Source organism: Homo sapiens, chromosome 18 (genome assembly GCF_000001405.40).
Source record: "Homo sapiens chromosome 18, GRCh38.p14 Primary Assembly".
Classification (NCBI taxonomy): domain Eukaryota; kingdom Metazoa; phylum Chordata; class Mammalia; order Primates; family Hominidae; genus Homo; species Homo sapiens.
The window spans coordinates 46172814-46192215 of NC_000018.10; the positions used below are offsets into that span (position 1 = coordinate 46172814).

At 45.0% G+C, this 19402-nt stretch overlaps 1 protein-coding gene across 4 annotated transcripts in view, besides 4 other annotated features; it reads left to right on the forward strand.

Annotated features, from left to right (window-relative positions):
* Positions 740-19402, forward strand: part of ARK2N (arkadia (RNF111) N-terminal like PKA signaling regulator 2N) — a 93440-nt gene continuing 74777 nt past the window's right edge. For 2 of the 4 annotated variants that reach the window (XM_011525822.3, XM_017025555.2), the window contains exon 1: positions 740-899. The gene's annotated coding sequence lies outside the window, so the exon portion shown is untranslated. Of the gene's footprint in view, positions 900-1220; positions 1518-19402 lie in introns of those variants that run through there. The other 2 variants (NM_145055.5, NM_001008239.3) reach the window with 1 other exon arrangement.
* Positions 795-844: an enhancer, noted in NCBI's record as "active region_13272". NCBI's record gives its function as "activates an Ori minimal core promoter by ATAC-STARR-seq in GM12878 lymphoblastoid cells {active_cell/tissue: GM12878}" and the evidence as "EXISTENCE:reporter gene assay evidence [ECO:0000049][PMID:35858748]".
* Positions 1165-1424: an enhancer, noted in NCBI's record as "active region_13273". NCBI's record gives its function as "activates an Ori minimal core promoter by ATAC-STARR-seq in GM12878 lymphoblastoid cells {active_cell/tissue: GM12878}" and the evidence as "EXISTENCE:reporter gene assay evidence [ECO:0000049][PMID:35858748]".
* Positions 1455-1504: an enhancer, noted in NCBI's record as "active region_13274". NCBI's record gives its function as "activates an Ori minimal core promoter by ATAC-STARR-seq in GM12878 lymphoblastoid cells {active_cell/tissue: GM12878}" and the evidence as "EXISTENCE:reporter gene assay evidence [ECO:0000049][PMID:35858748]".
* Positions 2105-2234: an enhancer, noted in NCBI's record as "active region_13275". NCBI's record gives its function as "activates an Ori minimal core promoter by ATAC-STARR-seq in GM12878 lymphoblastoid cells {active_cell/tissue: GM12878}" and the evidence as "EXISTENCE:reporter gene assay evidence [ECO:0000049][PMID:35858748]".

The following is a 19402-nucleotide window of genomic DNA, read 5'->3' on the forward strand; positions in this document are numbered from 1 at the left end:
CACTTACTTGGATGTGTCATCTTGGGCAGGTCACTCTGTCCCTCAGTTTCCACCTTTGCAATTTGGGACTAGTAACGCCATCCAACTCATAGGGTTGTTATGAGTTGTAATGAGGATTCAGTGGATTTAACCCATTTAAATGCAAGGTGCCTGGTATAATAAAATTATTTTCTTTTCTTAATTTATTCTTGTAGTTGGGGATGAAAAACTCGCACTCCTGTAGGCAGTCAGAAAAAATGAGTGAAGTGGGGGAACTAAGGGGCCTGGTCTGAAGGGGGAGACTGATATTTAGGGGAGTGCGGACCCAGTGGTGTGAGATTTTCAGAATCTCCTCTTGACGGGTCTCATCCGAGGTTCCAGCACAGCTCTGTAAAGGTAAAGACCGTTTACATTTTCCTCCTCAAAGCTTTATTATTATTATTTTTCTTCTCAAAACACTGCTTTGCTTTGGGGGAGCGCGGGTCCTTGGCCAGATCTTGAGTCTTGAGATATGTCTTCAGCATCTCCTGCTCCTCCTTGGGAAACGCTCCACCCGCCAGTGGGCCTGCGCCCTCCTCCCCTTCTTCGGGGTTCGGGTCCACCTCGTTTCCCCCACCCTCCCCAGGGCTGACTGCAAATCGGAGGGCGACTGCAGAGGCGGAATTCGGGGCAGAGCGGGGTCTCCCCAGCGGGCCACGTCCCACCAGCAGGTGGCGGTCGATCTGCAAGGCCTGCAAGGTGCCCGGACAGAAACTTGAGCAGATATTGGTGCCGCTGCCCGAGAAGAGCTCAGCCGAGTCTCCCCGAGCCCAGCTATCGGCATCCGCGAAAAAGCGGGGAGAGAAGGGCACGGGCTCTCCGCTGGAGCGACTCTGGGATTCAGACACCGCAAGCTGCTTTCGGAAGGGCTTCAGGAGGGGGTGAGTACTGAGCAGCGCACAGAAAAGGGAGCGCTGTCCTTTGCTGAAGGCATTGTCCTTGGCTTGCATTGAGTGGCTTTCCCACCCCCCGGGAAAGACATTTCGGGAAGGTGACGGTCTCAACAGAAGGAGGGAGCGCGGGAAAGAAGCCCGGGGAGCCGGCGCCTTCACGCCCCGCGGTCTGCAGCGGGAGGAGCGCGGGTTCCATCGCGCCAGATGGCGCTGTCTGGCTTTTCTCGGGCCTCGGGCGCCAGTCTCCAGAGGTCTCCGGCGCAGCTGCCTCTCTAGCCGGCCGACGCGGGCTCTGTGTTTCCGGGCGGAAGTGAGGCGCCCAGCGGAACGGCCTCTGGTGACATTTTCTTGGGGGCGGCGCGGACGACTGAAGGGACTTGGTGGTAGAGGCTGCGGAGGCGGCGAGGTTCACTTTGGTCCCGGCAGGGGCTCTGACCGCGACCCACTGCTCGCTGCCGGGGCTTGTTCCGAGGAGGAGAAGGCGGCGGTGGCCGTCGCGTCCTGAGTCACCGCAGCGGGGAAGAGTCCCGGCCGGGGGTTCGGTGCGTGCCCCGACGGGGCGCGCGCGAAGCGAGCGAGAAGGCACGGAGTCGCCGCGGAGCGCAGGTGAGGCGGGAAGGGGCGCAGGGCCGCGGCCTGGCTACTGGTCGAGTTGGGGGGCCCGGGTTGCGTCCCAGGGAGGGGTCGGGGCGAATCGGAGGGCTGCGGGCCGCGGTGAGGGCTCTGCGGCGTCCGGACGCTGGGGTCCTAGCGGGCCTGGCTGGTGGGCGCCGGGAACTCGCAGCCTGGATTGCCGGCTGACGCTGGGGCATCGCACCTCTCCGACCTCCTTGCTCGTCCGCCGTTGGTGACCCTAGCGTCCTCCCGGCCCGGCGGAGTTGGCTCCGGCACTCCAAGCCCCCAGACGCTGGGGCCGGGTTGAGGCGAGTCCTTTTCCGGGGGTGCTGAGGGGAGGCTGGAGGTGCCGCAGTCCCCGGGCTGCGGGGGGAAGCGACTTCACGGCCCTGGAGTTGTCTTCACGCAACTTTCCGGCTCCTAGGCCCGCGGGGGAAGCAGTGGCGGCAACTCCGCCAGCTCCGAGAGTAGGGGGTCTGGCGCCGACACCTGCCCCTGCAGCGGAGAGCTCCGGCGCCGCGGCCGCAGTGGCCTTGGTGGAGGGAGAAAAGGCTTTCTTATAGGCTTGGCGCCGCCTGCCTCTCGGCGCTTCCACTACCTTCGGTCGGCAGGCGCCTCCAGTCAATGCGAGAGATGTGTCAGTCTCCAAAATAGACCGCTTCTGGGGAGTTTGTCAACTTTATTTCAAAACCGGCGAGGATGTACACTGACGAACCCGTGTTAAAGACTATCGCCTTTACGCAAGCCATTCATTCTCACTTTAAAATTGTCCACCCCCCCGCCCCGACCCCCGTCCCCGGCAGCCCCCATCACAAAATTGATGCTCACAGGTTGAAGTAGAGAACATCGGTACGAGCCCTACCAGATCCTTGAGCAGTTTCTGTTTGGATGGGTTTTTCGTTTTTTGCCTGACCTTTTGCTTTCTGAATCCTCTTACCCAGTAGAATTAAAATCCTACTGATGATACTTCGTCAAGGTTGGACCTCTTAATTACAAAAACATCTGCCAATTTTGCTTAGGCTTTTATTGTGTAGTATTGGGTACATGCTAACAGAATCACTCCCTTTCTTCTCTTGGGATATTTTAAGGATGGAAGCTATTAACTTTCTAATGTAGTTTTGCTGATCTTGGCAATCTAGATTCCTCCAGTAATCAGAGCATTGCCTTTTGGTTTAACAAGCATTTTTAGAGGCCTACAATTGATAGTTACTGCCTGATGTCCTGAGGAGTCTCAGGACAAAAAAAAAAAAAACACATGGTTCAAGCAGTTATCCTGCCTCAGCCTCCCGAGTAGCTGGGATTACGGGCACGCGCCACCACGCCCAGCTAATTTTTGTATTTTTAGTAGAGACGGGGTTTTACCACGTTGGCCAAGCTGGTCTTGACCTCCTGACCTCGTGATCTGCCCGCCTTGGCTTCCCAAAGTGCTGGGATTACAGGCGTGAGCCGTGGCGCCTGGACTGAATCAGATTTCTTAATGGGAAAAAAAATTTTTTCTGACAACTTTTTGTGGAAAATAGGATGGACTGGATATTGGAGCTGGAAACTTTCTCCATTGTTAGAATAAGTTCACCGTGTAGTTGTTACTTATTCACTTTATATTTAACATGCATTTATGTGAGAGTAACTGTCATAATACTCTTTGTTTTATGGTTATGATTAATTCAAAACCCATATAGTAAAGATAAATTCAGCTTTAGGTTCTAATTTAATGCAGTTCCATTAGAACTGAGGGCTAATGCGTGTCCTTCAAAGGTTTCTTGCTTCTAATATTAATAGTGATATTGGTACTTTCAGTCTCTTTATTGTGTGACTAGTAAATTCTGTGCGCTTCTGTAGTTACTCATTATACAAGAAGTTGTTTTGTTGGGATTCCCAATCTTACAGCTTTTTTTGACACGTGCATGAACAGACTTGATAAATAGGCAATTTCAGTATTCTTCTTTCTAAAGTTTGGAATTCATGTACACTAGAGACCCAAACCTTTGGTAAATCATCTTAGATCTTCCTCATTTTCCTGCACATAACTGAGGATATGGAAATAGCATGTATTCATGTTTACTGAATAGACAGTACTTGAGAAAAACCTGTAAAGGTGAAAAATGTGTGTGTGTGTGCTTTTTTTTTTTTTTTTAAAGACACTCTTGCTCTGTCACCCAGGCTGGAGTGCAGTGGCATGATCACAGCTCACTGCAGCCTCAACCTCCCGAGCTCAAGCATTCCTCCCACCTCAGCCTCCGAAGTAGCTGAGACCACAGGCTCACGCCACCACACTCAGCTAATTTTTAATTTTTTTTTTTTTTGAGATGGAGTTTTGCTCTTGTTGCCCAGGCTGGAGTGCAATCTCCACTCACCGCAACCTCCACCTCCTGGGTTCAAGCGATTCTCTTGCCTCAGCCTACCAATTAGCTGGGATTACAGGCATGTGCCACCACGCCTGGCTAATTTTGTATTTTTAGTAGAGACGGGTTTTCTCTGTGTTGGTCAGGCTGGTCTCGAACTCCTGACCTCAGGCAATCTGCCTGCCTCGGCTCCCAGAGTGCTGGGATTACAGGTGTGAGCCACCACGGCTGGCTAATTTTTAAATTTTTTGTAGAGATGGAGTCTCCCTATGTTGCCCAGACTTGTCTTGAACTCTTGGGCTCAGGCAGTCCTCCTGCCTTGGCCTCCCAAAGTGTTGGGATTAGAGTTGTGAGCAACTGCACCCGGCCTAAATGTTGGATTTTTAATGTGTTCCTTTAAGGAATAGTGATTTCATTATCTTCTGTTATTTTAGGAAAGAGTTTGGGACCAAATAAAGTTTCTTGGGTTACTGTAATTCTCTAGGCAAAATGAAGTACATATGATACTATGAATAAAAAGTTGTGAGACTATAAAAGGGGAGAGCTATATAGAAGGGGGATAGAAAATAGAGTGGATAAAATATTTGTAAGGGGCTGGGCACAGTGGCTCACACCTCTAATCCCAGCATTTTGGGAGGCTGAGACGGGAGGATCAGTTGAACTCAGGAGTTTGAGATCAGCCTGGGCAACATAGTGAGAGCCCCTTTCTTTTTCTTCTTTTGTTCGTTTGTTCTTTCTTTTTTTCTTTACTTTTTTTTTTTTTTTTTTTTGATGGAGTCTTACTCTGTTGCCCAGGCTGGAGTACAGTGGCGCGGTCTTGGCTCACTGCAAACTCTGCCTTCCGGGTTCAAATGATTCTTCCATGTCAGCCTCCCAAGTAGCTAAGACAGGCGCCTGCCACCACGCCTGACTAATTTTTTATTTTTAGTAGAGATGTGGTTTCACCATGTTGGCCAGGTTGGTCTCGAATTCCTGACCTCAAGTGATCACCTGCCTCGGCCTCCCAAAGTGCTGGGATTACAGGTGTGAGCCACCGTGCCCGGCCTTGAGAGCCCATTTCTATAAAAAATTTAAAAACTTAGCTGGGTGGGGTGGTATGCATCTTTAGTCCCTGCTGCTTGTGGGGCTGAGGTGGAAGGATCGCTCAGGAGGTTGAGGCTACAGTGAGCTGTGACTGTGCCGCTGCACTCCAGCCTGGGCAACAAAGTGAGACCTTGTTTCAAAAAATAATAATTCATATGGAGAGTCTTTATTCTCACAACAACAATTTATTGAGTGTTTACTGTGTGCCAGCAGTGCTCTAGTTGCAGGAACTATAGTGGTGAATAAGACCAACAAGGCCACCTGGTGCTTAAGGAGCTTAGACATTTAAACCTGAGGTTCGAGTTGGATTTCCAGGTGAGCATGCCAGGCTAGGGCAGCCTAACCAAAGTCATGATTATCAGTGCACTTGAATGGTTAAGTGGGGCCAGTGCCTTGAGTTTTCAAAAGGAATGGATAGGGCAGATGGAGATAGGGCCAAGTTGCAAAGGTACCTTATTAGTCCGCTAATGGGTTGGGAATTTTCTTCTTTTTGGAGGAAAGAATTCCAGGTAGAATGTGAAGAATGAGATAGGCATTCCTTTTATTTTTATTTATTTATTTTTTTTGAGACAGAGTCTCACTGCGATGCCCAGGCTGGAGTGCAATGGCACAATCTCCGCTCACTGCAATCTCCACCTTCTGGGTTCAAGTGATTCTCCTGCCTCAGCCTCCCGAGTAGTTGGGATTGCAGGCATGTGCCGTCATGCCAGGCTAATTTTTGTATTTGGTAGAGACAGGGTTTCACCATGTTGGCCAGGCTGGTCTCGAACTCCTGACCTCGGGTGATGCACCACCTCGGCCTCCCAAAGTGTTGGGATTATAGGCGGGAGCCACCATGCCTGGCCCTGACATAACTTTTTAAAGATTTTTCTGGGGCTACGTGCAGTGGCTCATGCCTGTAATCCCAGCACGTTGGGAGGCTGAGGCCGGTGGATTGCTTGAGCCCAGGAGACCAGCCTGGGCAACATGGCAGAACCGTCTCTACAGAAAAATTAAAAGATTATCTGGGTGTGGTGGCACACGCCTGTAGTCCCAGCTACTCAGGAGGCTGAAATGGGAGGAGCAGTTGAGCCCAGGGGTTTGTGGCTGCAGTGAGTGGTGATCATGCCACTGCCTGAGACTCTTTCTCAAAAAAAAAAAACAACAAAAATATTTTTCTTTATTATCCTTAAGTTGAGTGAATACAAATTTTTTTTGAGATGGAGTTTTGCCCTTTCACCCAGGCTGAACTGCAGTGTCAGGATATCTGCTCACAGCAACCTCTGCCTCCTGGGTTCAAGTGATTCTCCTGCCTCAGCCTCCCGAGTAGCTGGGATTACAGGCGCGTGCCACCACACCCAGCTAATTTTTTATATTTTTGGTAGAGACGAAGTTTCACCCTGTTGGCCAGGCTGGTCTTGAACTCCTGACCTCAAGTGATCGCCCACCTTGGCCTCCCAAAGTGCTAGGATTACAGAGGTGAGCCACTGAGCCCAGCCCAGTGAATATAAATTTTATTGGTTTTATTTATTTTAGTTTGGTTTATTTATTTTGATTTCTTGGTCATCAGATTAAATAAATCTGATAGTTATTTTTCTTTAGTTGTCAATTTCCAGTCTTGGTTTTGAGTTTGACTGTTGTCATGATACTCTTCTGAATCCTTTTAGCCTTTACCTGTACCTCTTTTCCTTACTTTTTCAGAACTCTTATGATTCCACTTAAAGAAGCAGTGTTTTTTACTTCTGTGTGGGCAGCTTCTCTCAGCAGAAGTGGGATTGATGTTCAGTCAGTCAGTTTTCACACTCAGCCTACAGGGCCTTGTAAAAGTAAGGAGCAGGAGCAGGGTGAAACTAAAAAGTAATCTTGCTTTTTTAAAGTTATCTTTTTTTTTTTTTTTTTGAGACGGAGTTTCGCTCTTGTTGCCCAGGCTGGAGTGCAATGGCGCCATCTCCGCTCACCGCAACCTCCGCCTCCTGGGTTCAAGCGATTCTCCTGCCTCAGCCTCCCGAGTAGCTGGGATTACAGTCATGTGCTGCCACGCCTGCCTAATTTTGTATTTCTAGTAGAGAAGGGGTTTCTCCATGTTAGTCAGGCTGGTCTCAAACTCCCGACCTCAGGTAATCTGCCCGCCTTGGCCTCCCAAAGTGCTGGGATTACAGGTGTGAGCCACTGCGCCCGGCCTAAAGTTCTCTTCTATATTCCTGAACTGCTAGGAGAGGAAACTATGTGATCTATGTGTTATACAGATTTATCGGAACATATTTGTAGCAGCTGATAATAGTAAATGTGATTTTAAAATACTTTAAAGTAGCCAATATAACTGAGATTTGATAAGTTGTTTGATTAGTTGTTAGGAATTTTGGCTTTAATTTACAGTGTTTTAAGTTTTGTTTCTGTTCTCTTTCATGTCTGTTCAAAATAAGGGACCTCATTCCTCTTTGCTCAGACTCTGCCACTTAATAGGTAGATGGTGTAAATTCCTAAATTATTAACTTGACTTTAAATAATTTTAAAACCTACCTAAATGAGTATTTTCTAGTTAAGTGACAATTAATCTAAAGTGGAAATCTATCAGCAGGGACTTAATGCATATGTGGTATTTATACCTGGTTAAATTAAAAACCCATTTACTGAGCATTTACATGCCAGGTGGTAATGGGCACATAAAATAAGCAGTTTGGGGCAGGGCACGGTGGCTCACGCCTGTAATCCCAGCACTTTGGGAGGCCGAGGCGGGCGGATCACCTGAAGTTCGGAGTTTGAGACCAGCCTGACCAACTTGGAGAAACACTGTCTCTACTAAAAATACAAAATTAGTTGGGCATGGTGGCGCATGCCTGTAATCCCAGCTACCCAGGAGGCTGAGGCAGGAGAATCTCTTGAACCTGGGAGGCAGCTGTGGTGAGCCAAGATTGTGCCATTGCACTCCAGCCTGGGCAACAAGAGGGAAACTCTGTCTCAAAAAAAAAAACAACAATAAAAACAAAACAAGCAAGCAGTCTCTGCCCACAGAACTCAACCTAGTGAACCAGATGATTTCTGAGTTTCCTTCCTGCTCTAAAATGTGGAGAAGAGAAAGTAGATTATAAGGGAAAAAAGTACTGCATAACAAAACAACTGTAGTATGGAACTAGTGTTTTCCCTTATAAATTCATTTTAAATAAGGTATTAGAAAATAGCATTTTTCTTGGTATCTCTAAGCTTTAAAAGGCTGGAAACTTAAATGTCGTTTTTTGGGCTGGGCATGGTAACTCACGCCTGTAATCCCAGCACTTTGGGAAGCCGAGGCAGGTGGATCACAAGATCAGGAGTTCGAAACCAGCCTAGCCAACATGATGAAACCGTGTCTCTACTAAAAATACAAAAATCAGATGGGTGTGGTGGTGCACGCCTGTAATCCCAGCTACTTGGGAGGCTGAGGCAGGAGAATTGCTTGAATCTGGGAGGTGAAAGTTGCAGTGAGCAGGGATCATGCCATTGCACTCCAGCTCTGGGCAACAGAGCAAGACTCCCTCTCGGGAGGTGGGGGGGGAAATGTCGTTTTTTTGTAATGCCAGTTCATTTACAAAATACATTTGCTTGTAATTCAAGTTCATGTATTAAGTTCTGATTGTTGTTCAGAGAGAAACAACATTAAATCTGTTAAAACTTAGAGCAGCCATTCCTAAGAATGTATATAACCTAGAATTGTGCCAGGCATGGTGGCTTATGCCTGTAATCCCAGCACTTTGGGAGGCTGAGGCGGCGGATCATGAGGTCAGGAGATCGAGACCATCCTGGCTAACGTGGTGAAACCCCGTCTCTACTAAAAATACAAAAAATTAGCCAGACGTGGTGGCGGGCACCTGTAGTCCCAGCTACTCGGGAGGTTTGAGGCAGGAGAATGGCATGAACCCAGGAGGAGGAGCTTGCAGTGAGCCAAGATCGCGCCACTGCACTCCAGCCTGGGCGACAGAGCGAGACTCCGTCTCAAAAAAAAACAAAAAACTAGAATTGTGCTTGGGTAGTCTAGAAATTAAGTTTATTTTGATTGATTGATTGATTGATTGAGATGGGGTCTTACTATGTTGGCCAGGCTGGTCTCCAACTCCTGGGCCCAAGTGATCCTCCCATTTCAGCCTCTCATAGTGCTGGGATTACAGATGTGAGCCACTGTGCCTGGCTGAAATTAAGTTTTTATTAGCATAATTAGCATTAGAGAAACAAGATACTGACCAAAGTGACCAGTAGAAGTTATTTTTTTACTGAGTTGACTAGTTTAAAAAAATGACCTTTACAATAATGTCTGGAGTCTGCATTTTGTTAGGTGCCTTATAATTAGAGAAAGGTATTGTCGGGGATAGGGAAGTTGGGTGTGGACTAAAATTTAAGGAAAACAGGATTGTTTTTCTTTCTGTATTAAGAACAAAAACTTCATGTGGTTAAAATTTTAAGCAGTATCCTGTCTGCCTTAGTTTTAACCTAGCATAGAATCATAGCTTGTTCTTAAATCAACAGTTTAGTGTCAAGGGTTTCTTACTATTTTTCTCTGCTGAAATCAACTAAGCACTTTGCAGTGAGCCTGAAGGTGTGTATAGTGGAGAGAATTTTGGCAGCTTTTATCTTGGGACCTCAGTTCCTGGCATGTGGTTATCCATCTTTATGTGAATTGTCTTCTGAAGGAGATAGAAAATGACCAGGGCAGAAATCTTGGAGAAAATTTAGAACCTTTGTTTTAGGGCCAGGCATGGTAGCTCACACCTGTAATCTCAGCACCTTGGGAGGCAGAGTTGGGAGGGTAGCTTGAGCCCAGGAGTTTTAGACCAGCCGGGGCAACAAAGTGAAACCCTGTCTCTATTAAAAAATTATTTTTAAAAATTAAAAGAACCTCTGTTTTAAATTATTCTTGATTTACACTGATGATGCTTTTGAGTACTTTAGAGAGTCATTAGCCACAGTGCTTTTTTTTTTTTTTTTTTTTTGCATTTGATAACTTCTTTGGCTTCTTACTTGATGCTAGTTTATTCACAGCCCTGGTGCAGGTCCAGGTACATGCCAGAAGTAGTAATATCTGCAATATGAAGTGATTTGAGCAGCCATTATCACCTTTGACCTATTTATAGAGTTTATATCAGTGGAGAAAAAGTTGGCTGGCAAGCAAGCAAAGCTGATCTCTGGTGGTTGCAATCTCACAATTTATATTTAAGTTCCGGGTAGGCCAAATTCAGTGCATTATGGACAGATCCATTCAGCTGTATTAATATTAGAGTTCCCTTTCTGTACTCTAACTTTTTAGCACTCCAGTTTCCCAGTCAGCTTCACTGTTGAAGGAAAGAAAACCGAAAAACTTACCACACTAAAAAAAAAAAGGAAGAGTTCCTTAATGTAATATGATAGTCAGTGTTCAGATTTCCCTCTTATCTCATAAATGTGTCAGATCAAGAGCCAAATAAGGTCTCTGCATTGTTTTGTAATCTGTAGGTTCCCCCTCCATTTCTTTTCCCTAGCAGATTATTAGTTACAAAAGAAGTTTTCCCAGTGTGGATTTAGCAGTTACATTCCTTTGGATTTCTGTGGTGGTGGTGGTAAACGTTTTTCTCTGACCCCTGGGTTTCTAGTTAATTGGTATTAGATTTAGAAGCTTGATCAGATTGTTTCTATAATATATATTCTTTCTCTTGCTTCTTTTGCAGGGGATGAGGGGAATACTTTATAGATGGTACTTGGATCAGTAGGTGCATAATATTTGGTTCCCTGTGATGTTAGTAGCTGTTGGTGATCGTTGCCCAGTTGTGTTAATTTGTTACTCATAATTCCTTACTCTGAATGGGGCATCCTCTCTCATCAGTCCTAGTTTGAGTCTTTTATGCTTGTTTATAGCTTCTTCAAACTTTTCTTTCTTTTGAGGATTAAGGGAAGGGATGAGTTGCTGTGGAGAAAAGGGCTCTTTCTACTATATTGTATTTCTGTAAGTGTTTTTTATTTTAGTCCTAATCTTTGGTTCTTGCATTGTCTGCATTGTCTATGCTGCAGCTTCTTGGTGGGAAAACTGACTCAAAATCCCAGCAAATAATTGAAAGAAGTCCTTCAAAACCAAATTTTTAAAAAAATTTTTTTCTGAGTTAGAGTCTTGCTCTGTCGCCCAGGCTGGAGTGCAGTGGCGCGATCTCAGCTCACTGCAACCTCCGTCTCCCGGGTTCAAGCGATTCTCCTGCCTCAGCCTCCTGAGTAGCTAGGATTACAGGTGTGTGCCACCATGCCTGGCTAATTTTTGTATTTTATTTTTGAGACGGAGCCTCACAGTGTCACCCGGGCTGGTGTGCAGTGGCATGATCTCAGCTACTTGCAACCTCTGCCTCCTGGGTTCAAGCGATTTTCCTGCCTCAGCCTCCTGAGTAGCTAGGATTACAGGTGCCTACCACCACGCTTGGCTAATTTTTGGTATTTTTAGTAGAGACGGGGTTTCACTAGGTTGGCCAGGCTGGTCTCGAACTCCTGACCTCGTGATCTGCCTGCCTTGGCCTCCCAAAGTGCTGGGATTACAGGTGTAAGCCACTGCGCCCAGCAGTTTTTGTATTTTTAATAGAGACGGGGTTTCAGCATGTTGGCTAGGCTGGTCTCGAATTCCTGACCTTGTGATCTGCCTGCCTCGGCCTCCCAAAGTGCTGGGATGACAGGCGTGAGCTACTGCGCCCGGCCTCGAAAACCAAAATTTATGGCCAGGTGTTGTGGCTCACACTTGTCATCTCAGCACTTTGGGAGGCCAAGGTGGGCAGATGGCTTAAATACAGGAGTTTGAGACCAGACTGGGTAACATAGTGAAACTCCGTCTCTCCTAAAAATACAAAAATTAGCCTGGCTTGGTGGCATGCGGCTGTAGTCCCAGCTACTCAGGAAGCTGAGGTGGGAGAATCACCTGAGCCTAGGAAGGTAAGGCTGCAATGAGCTGTGATTGTGCCACTACACTCCAGCCTGGGTGATAGAAGTGAGACCCTGTCTCTAACAACAACAACAACAACAACAAAGATTTAGGAAGATGAGTATTATGAATGCAATGGAGTCTCTTCATAGAATTGAATGTGTAAGGAGAGGGGCCTTCATTTGAATTTTAGTAAGATACTGCTTTCTACCTCATTTTGTGGTTATGTAGCCAAAGATACTTAGTTTCATAGTGCCTGATTCTTGCATATTTGCGTATACACACACAATCACTTTAAATGCAGTATTCTAAATGTAAGGAAACAGCTTTACTAGGCTATTAGCAGTTGAGTCAGTTTTTGTCTTAGGTTTTATGTAGAAAGAAAAGGGAAGTTACTCTGTGAGAAATCATGTTGATTCTATGTAATGGAATGTATTTTCATATACAAATGAATAGTACTTTTAAGCAAACAAGTTGTTTCATTAGTGGTCTTGGTTTAAAAGATTCAGTTGATCAATTCAACAAATATCAGATATTGATTATGTGTTAGGAACTGTGAGTGAACTGATACTGAACATGATCCCTGTTTTCATGGGAGATGCAACATAGAGGGCTGAGGGAGTAAGTAAAAACATTTAGGTGCATAATTTGTTTCTTTTCAGTTGTCTTTCTCATAGTGTGCTATTTATTCTCCTCCCTCATGTATAAAGTTAACTCTTAACTTCTTGGGCTTAAATTTCCTCTGATAGCTCTGTGTGTGCACATGTGCCACAGTCAGAAAAATCAGGTAATAATTGTTAGGTGTTAATTTTCTTGGATGATTACTAGTATTGTGATTGTCTTCCACCATTGTCATAGCTCTCTACTGTGCTAGCCAACTTGTCTAACTGAAATAACTTTTAAGTCTTTTTGTGACAATTGCTAAAGCCAGCAGGAAGTAGGTCCACAATAATGTTTGAAAGCCCTGCTTCATTCTAGTTTTATCTTCATGCATTGCAATTTGTCTCTTGTTTTCCAGTCTGCATATTCCCTATCCTCAATTCTTGTTTAAAAAACCAGGTAAGGCCGGGCGTGGTGGCTCATGCCTGTAATCCCAGTACTTTGTGAGGCCTAGGCGGGCAGATCACTTGAGGTCAGGAGTTTGAGACCAGCCTGGCCAACATGATGAAACCCCGACTCTACTAAAAATACAAAAATTAGCTGGGCTTGCTGGCTTACACTGGTAATCTCAGCTACTCAGGAGGCTGAGGAAGGAGAATCGCTTGAACCCAGGAGGTGGAGGTTTCTGTGAGCTGAGATCGTGCCACTGCACTGCAGCCTGGGCAGCTTGAGTGAGACCCTGTCTCAAAGAATAAAAATAAAAAAACAGGCAAAACTTCGAAAATACCTTAAGTTGGGCATTTTGGACAGGGAGGGGGGGCATTTTTTTGAAGTGTTTAGGTATAGAATAGGCAAACTTTCACAAAGAGCTAGGAGTGTTTTTATTTTATTATTTTTATTGATTGATTTAAAAGTTTATGGAGAGTGGTTTTTAAAGATGGACAGCTGATTATCATGAATTTTTTTTTTTTTTGAGACAAAGTCTTGCTCTGTCGCCAGGCTGGAGTGCAGTGGTGCTATCTCGGCTCACTGCAGCCTCCACCTCCCAGGTTCAAGCGATTCTCCTGCCTCAGCCTCCCGAGTGGTTGGGACTACAGGTGCACGCCACTATGCCCACCTAATTTTTGTATTTTTAGTAGAGATTGGGTTTCACCATGTCGGCCAGGATGGTCTCAATCTCTTGACCTCATGATTCTCCTGCCTTGGTCTCCCAAAGTGGTGGGATTACAGGAGTGAGCCACCGCACCCAACTGGTGATTTTTTTTTTTTTTTTTTTTTTTTGAGACGGAGTCTCGCTCTGTTGCCCAGGCTGGAGTGCAGTGGCGGGATCTCGGCTCACTACAAGCTCCACCTTCCGGGTTCACACCATTCTCCTGCCTTAGCCTCTCGAGTAGCTGAGACTACAGGCGCCCGCCACCACGCCCAGCTAATTTTGTTTTTGTACTTTTAGTAGAGAGGGGGTTTCACTGTGTTAGCCAGGATGGTTTTGAACTCCTGACCTCGTGATCCGCCCACCTCGGCCTCCCAAAGTGCTGGGATTACAGGCGTGAGCCCCCGTGCCCGGCCGAATTTTGTTTTTTTAACCTTACTCCCAACTATTAAAGAACTTACTACTACTTTTTTTTTTTTTTAGATGGAGTTTCTCTCTTGTTGCCCAGGCTGGAGTGCAGTGGTATGATCTAGGCTCACTGCAACCTCTGCCTCCCGGATTCAAGTGATTCTGCTGTCTCAGCCTCCCGAGTTGCTGGGATTACAGACATGCGTCATCATGACTGGCAAATTTTGTGTTTTTGTTAGAGACGGGGTTTCTCCATGTTGGTCAGACTGGTCTCGAACTCCAGACCTCAGGCGATCCGCCCGCCTTGGCCTCCCAAAGTGCTGGGATTACAGGCATGAGCCACCTTGCCCAGCCCTTACTACTACTTTTTTAAAAAGACGGCTGAGACAGGAGAATCGCTTGAACCCGGGAGGCAGAGGTTGCAGTGAGCTAAGATCGCGTCATTGCACTCCAGCCTGGGTGACAGAGCGAGACTCTGTCTCATGAAAAAACGAACAAACAAAAAATCAGCAGTAGATGCCAACTATAATGTTTTATATGATAACTGTCTTTTTTTTTTTGAGACGGAGTCTTGCTCTGTCACCCGGGCTGGAGTGCAGTAGCGCCATCTCGGCTCACTGCAACCTCCGCCTCCCGGGTTCAAGCAATTCTCCTGCCTTAGCCTCCCGAGTAGCTGAGATTACAGGTGCACGCCGCCACGCCTGGCTACTTTTTGTATTTTTAGTAGACACAGGGTTTCACCATGCTGGTCAGGCTGGTCTTGAACTCCCTACCTCAGGTGATCCGACCGCCTTGGCCTCCCAAAGTGCTGGGATTATAGGCGTGAGCACTGTGCCCGGCCAATAACTGTCTTAAAGGCAGAAATTTTTATTTTCTTGGAGTTAACTATATTCTTGTTTGTGGTCTCTTGACTTCAGTTTATTTAGTTTCATTCATATGAGAAGTGCCCAGTTTCCTTGATTTTTGGTGCTAGGATAGTACATAATTTTTGAATAATAGATTCAGTAATAAACATAACATGGTTTAATATTTAAACTGTAAGCCAGCTGACAGTTTTTGGGTTTTCAAGCTAAGCCTATTAAAAAATAACTTAAAAAATTTGTTTAGACTAAACTGCTATGAGGCTAAACTGGAACTCCCCCGCTAAGTAACTCCCTTGCTTAATAACTCCCTCTTCCCTCCTTGTATGGCATAGTTTTTCTTTTATTGATTAAGCATTTGGCATACATTGAGCATAATTTTAAGTAAGCACAGTATGGAAGTTTTTTGTAAGCCTAGTATTATTAAACCTATTTGAAGGGCACATACTGTTTTTATGATGCCTTGGCAGATAATGTCAGGCAAGAGTAACTGAGGTAAAGAGTAACTGTCCACTTGTACAGATTTTGTCCTTTAAAATCTTATATATATATATTTTTGAGACAGAGTTTTGCTCTTGTTGCCCAGGCTGGAGTGCAATGGCACGATCTTGGCTCACTGCAACCTCTGCCTCCCGGGTTCAAGTGATTCTCCTGTCTCAGCCTCCGGAGCAGCTGGAATTACAGGTGCCTGCCACTACACCCGGCCAATTTTTGTTTTTTTAGTAGAGATGGGGTTTCACCATGTTGGCCAGGTTGGTTTCGGAACTCCTGACCTCAGGTGATCCACCTGCATAGGCCTCCCAAAGTGCTGGGATTACAGGCGTGAGCCGCGACATGTGGCGGCCCAGCTTGTTTTTCTTATTTTTAGTAGGGACGAGGTCTCACTATGTTGCCTACGCTGGTCTCGAACTCCTGAGCTCAAGCAATCCTCCTACCTTGACCTCCCAAAGTGCTGGAGATTACAGGTGTGAGCCACCATGCCTGGCAAAAATTTTAAGTGGTTAGGGAATTACTAACATAAAAATATAAGATTTTGAAATGTCAACTTATCTTTTAAAAAATCAAAATGTTGGCTGGGCGCAGTGGCTCATGCCTATAGTCTCAGCACTTTGGGAGGCAGAGGCCGGGGGATCACTTGAGCCCAGGAGTTCAAGATCCTGAGTCAGAAAAGATCTTGGTATGTTGAAAGATCTGGAGCCTAATGAGGGCAAATGATGCTGCTGATGAGATTTGAGTGACACATATCTGGGCTTCAAAAAAAAATCAAAGTTGACCGGGTGCGGGGTGGCTCACGCCTGTAATCCCAACACTTTGGGAGGCCGAGGCGGGTGGATCACCTGAGGTCAGGAGTTCGAGACCAGCCTAGACTAAATGGTGAAACCCCATCACTATTAAAAATAAAAAAATTAGCCAGGCGTGGTGGCCGGTGCCTCTAATACCAGCTACTCAGGAAGCTGAGGCGGGAGAATCGCCTCAACCTGGGAGGTGGAGATTGCCGTGAGCCAAGATTATGCCACTGCACTCCAGCCTGGGTGACAGAGCGAGACTGTCTCAAAAAAAAAAAAAAAAAAAAAAAAAATCAAAGTTTATTCTAATTGGAAGGAAACACGTATAGGGAAAGTATAGGTCAAGGCAAGGAGCTGTTTTGTTCCCCTTCTTATGTATGAAATGTAGATGTGCTTTTATTTACACAAAAGGTGTATTCTTGTGTATTTGTGGGCAACCAAATTCTAAATAGCAACCTTCAAATACATTAGGAAAACTTACTTTAAAGGAGTCTGTATTAAAACTTTTTTTTAAAAAAAATTATTTAAAGAGATGGGGTCTCATTATGTTACCCAGGCTGGCCTTAAATTTCTTGGGTTCAAGTGATCCTCTGCCTTAGCCTCCTGAATAGTTGGTACTGCAGGCACATGCTATGGTGCCCAGATAAAACCTTATCTTTGGCCAGGTGTGGTGGCTCATGTCTGTAATCCCTGTAGTTTGCAAGACCAGGGAGGGTAGAGTTTGATACCAGTCTGGGCAACATAGTGAAATCCTTGTTTCTATAAAAAATTACCTGGGCTTGGTGGCATGTGCCTGTAGTCCCAGCTACTTGGGACACCAAGGTGGGCGGATCGCTTGAGCCTGAGGGTTTGATGGTGCAGTGAGTGATGATCATGCCCCTGCCCTCTAGCCTGGGTGACAGAGTGAGACACTGTCTCAAAAAAGGAAAAAAAGAAAACCTTATCTTTTAAATGTGTATAACCTAATTTATCTTTTGTAAAGATACAGACATTCAGAACTTTTATGTTTGGTTGAAGAAGGCTACTTGTGTAGCACGATCTAGTCTTATCCTGAGAGGCAGGTTGGAAATTCAGAAACTCTTCTAAATATATCTATCTAAATATATTTTGGCCACTGACCTACATATTCTTTTCTTAGAAATCAGGATTATACATTTTAGGTTAGCTATGAGCAATAATTAATGAAAATAATTAAAATGTTCTGAAAACCTAAATAGAATTTTTTAGAGATAGTTGTCAACATGGGAAGGCCATTTTTATCTTGTGTAGTGTTTTAAAATTACAGCTTTTCAGGCCGGGCGTGGTGGCTCACGCCTGTAATCCCAGCACTTTGGGAGGCCGAGGCGGGTGGATCACATGAAGTCGGGGATTCAAGACCAGCCTGACCAACATGGAGAAACCCCGTCTCTAGTAAAAACACAAAAATTAGCCAGGCGTGGTGGCGCATGCCTGTAATCCCAGCTACTCGGGAGTCTGAGGTTGCGGTGAGCTGAGATCACGCCACTGCACTCCAGCCTGGGCAACAAGAGCGAAACTCTGTCCCCCGGCCCCCCGAAAAAAAAAAACAATTACAGCTTTTCAAAAAACCTGCAAATATGTGGTAAAACATTCATCATTTTAAAAAAATCATTAGTGTCTAGAGCATTCTTTGGATGGATTTTTGAAATGAAATTACCTACATCTTTTAAAAAAATTTCTTGAAACTTTTTGAAAACATTGAGATCTCAGCTAATTCATAGTAAGATTATGCTGTATCTAAAGTTTACCAGCAGCCCCAGTGACACCCCTGTAGTGTAGCGTGGAGGCACTAGTTTTAATGCTAAGAAGCAAAGGCCAAGGTAGTACAGATTGCTCCCATATTGCCTTATCCAAGTCTGTATGTAGACCCATTAACTGCACTGGTTTTCTGTATGCTATGACCCTAGCTCCTATGAGACATGTTTTTGCAGAAGATGGCTGTAGTGTGTGTGTATGCATCATCTGTGGTTTTTTTTAAAGCAAAAGTGAGATTTAATAGATTCATTTAACTGTGACAAATCCAGTGTGCAACTGGTCTCTGGCCCAATTGGATCCAGCACTCATTTGATATTATCTCGGCACTGTTTTTTATCTCTTTGGGTACTGGCTCTGTGTACTGCTTTTGGGCTTTATTTTCAGCCAGGCTTTCCTCTCATGAGGGCAGAGTTGACCCCCAGTAGCTCTCAACTAACTCATTTCCTCAGTATTGAGAAAAAAAATTAATAGACTTTATTTTTTAGATGAGTTTTAGGTTTGCAGAAAAATTTAACAGAAAGTACAGACGGTCCTCAACCCATTTTGCCCTATTAACATATTGCATTAGTCTGGCATATTTGTTACAACTGACAAGCCAATATTGATACATTATTATTTATTGTTTATTTAATTTTTTTTTTTTTGGTAGAGATGGGGTCTCTACAAAACTTCATCTTGTGTTGCCCAGGCTGATCTCAAGCAACCCTCATGCCTCAACCTCCCAAGGTGCTGGGATTACAGGCATGAGCCACCACGCCTGGCCTGATACATTATTAAAGTTCGTAGTTAACATTAGGGTTCACTCTTTTTGTATTGATTAATACGGAGAGTCTATGTTGAATAAAACCAAATAACAGTTCTGTGGGTTTGGACAAATGCCTAATGCCAAGTAAAATATCTCCCACCAGAAAGGCACGGTTATTGCAATTGTTGAACCTCCATTAACTTGTCCTTCTCACCCAAAGTTCATAGGTTATATATTAGAGTTCACTGTTGGTGTTGTACATTGTAGGGGTATGGGCAAATTTGCAATGACATGTATCTACCATTACAGCGTCATACAGAGTAGTTTGGCCTAAAAATCCTCTGTGCTCGGCCTCTTCATTCTTCCCTTCCCCCACCCTCTGGCAACCATTGATCTGTTGTCTCTATAGTTTTGCCTTTTCCAGAATGTCATACAATTGGAATGATACAATATGTAGTTTTTTCAGATTGGTTTCTTCACTTTGTGATAGTATTCAAGTTTCTTTTGTGGCTTGGTAGCTCACTTCTTCTTATGGATGAATAATATTCCATTGTCTGGATGACCACAGTTTATCCATTCACCTACTGAAGGATAGTAAGTCGCTTCCAATTTTTGATAGTATGTTTGCTTCCAGTTGGTTGCTTCCAATTTTTGGTAGTGTGTTTTTCAGCATTTTTGACTGAAAATCATAATGTTAAAAGAGCATAATTATAACAGAAGCATCCTTTCTCTTGACTTTACCAATTTATTGA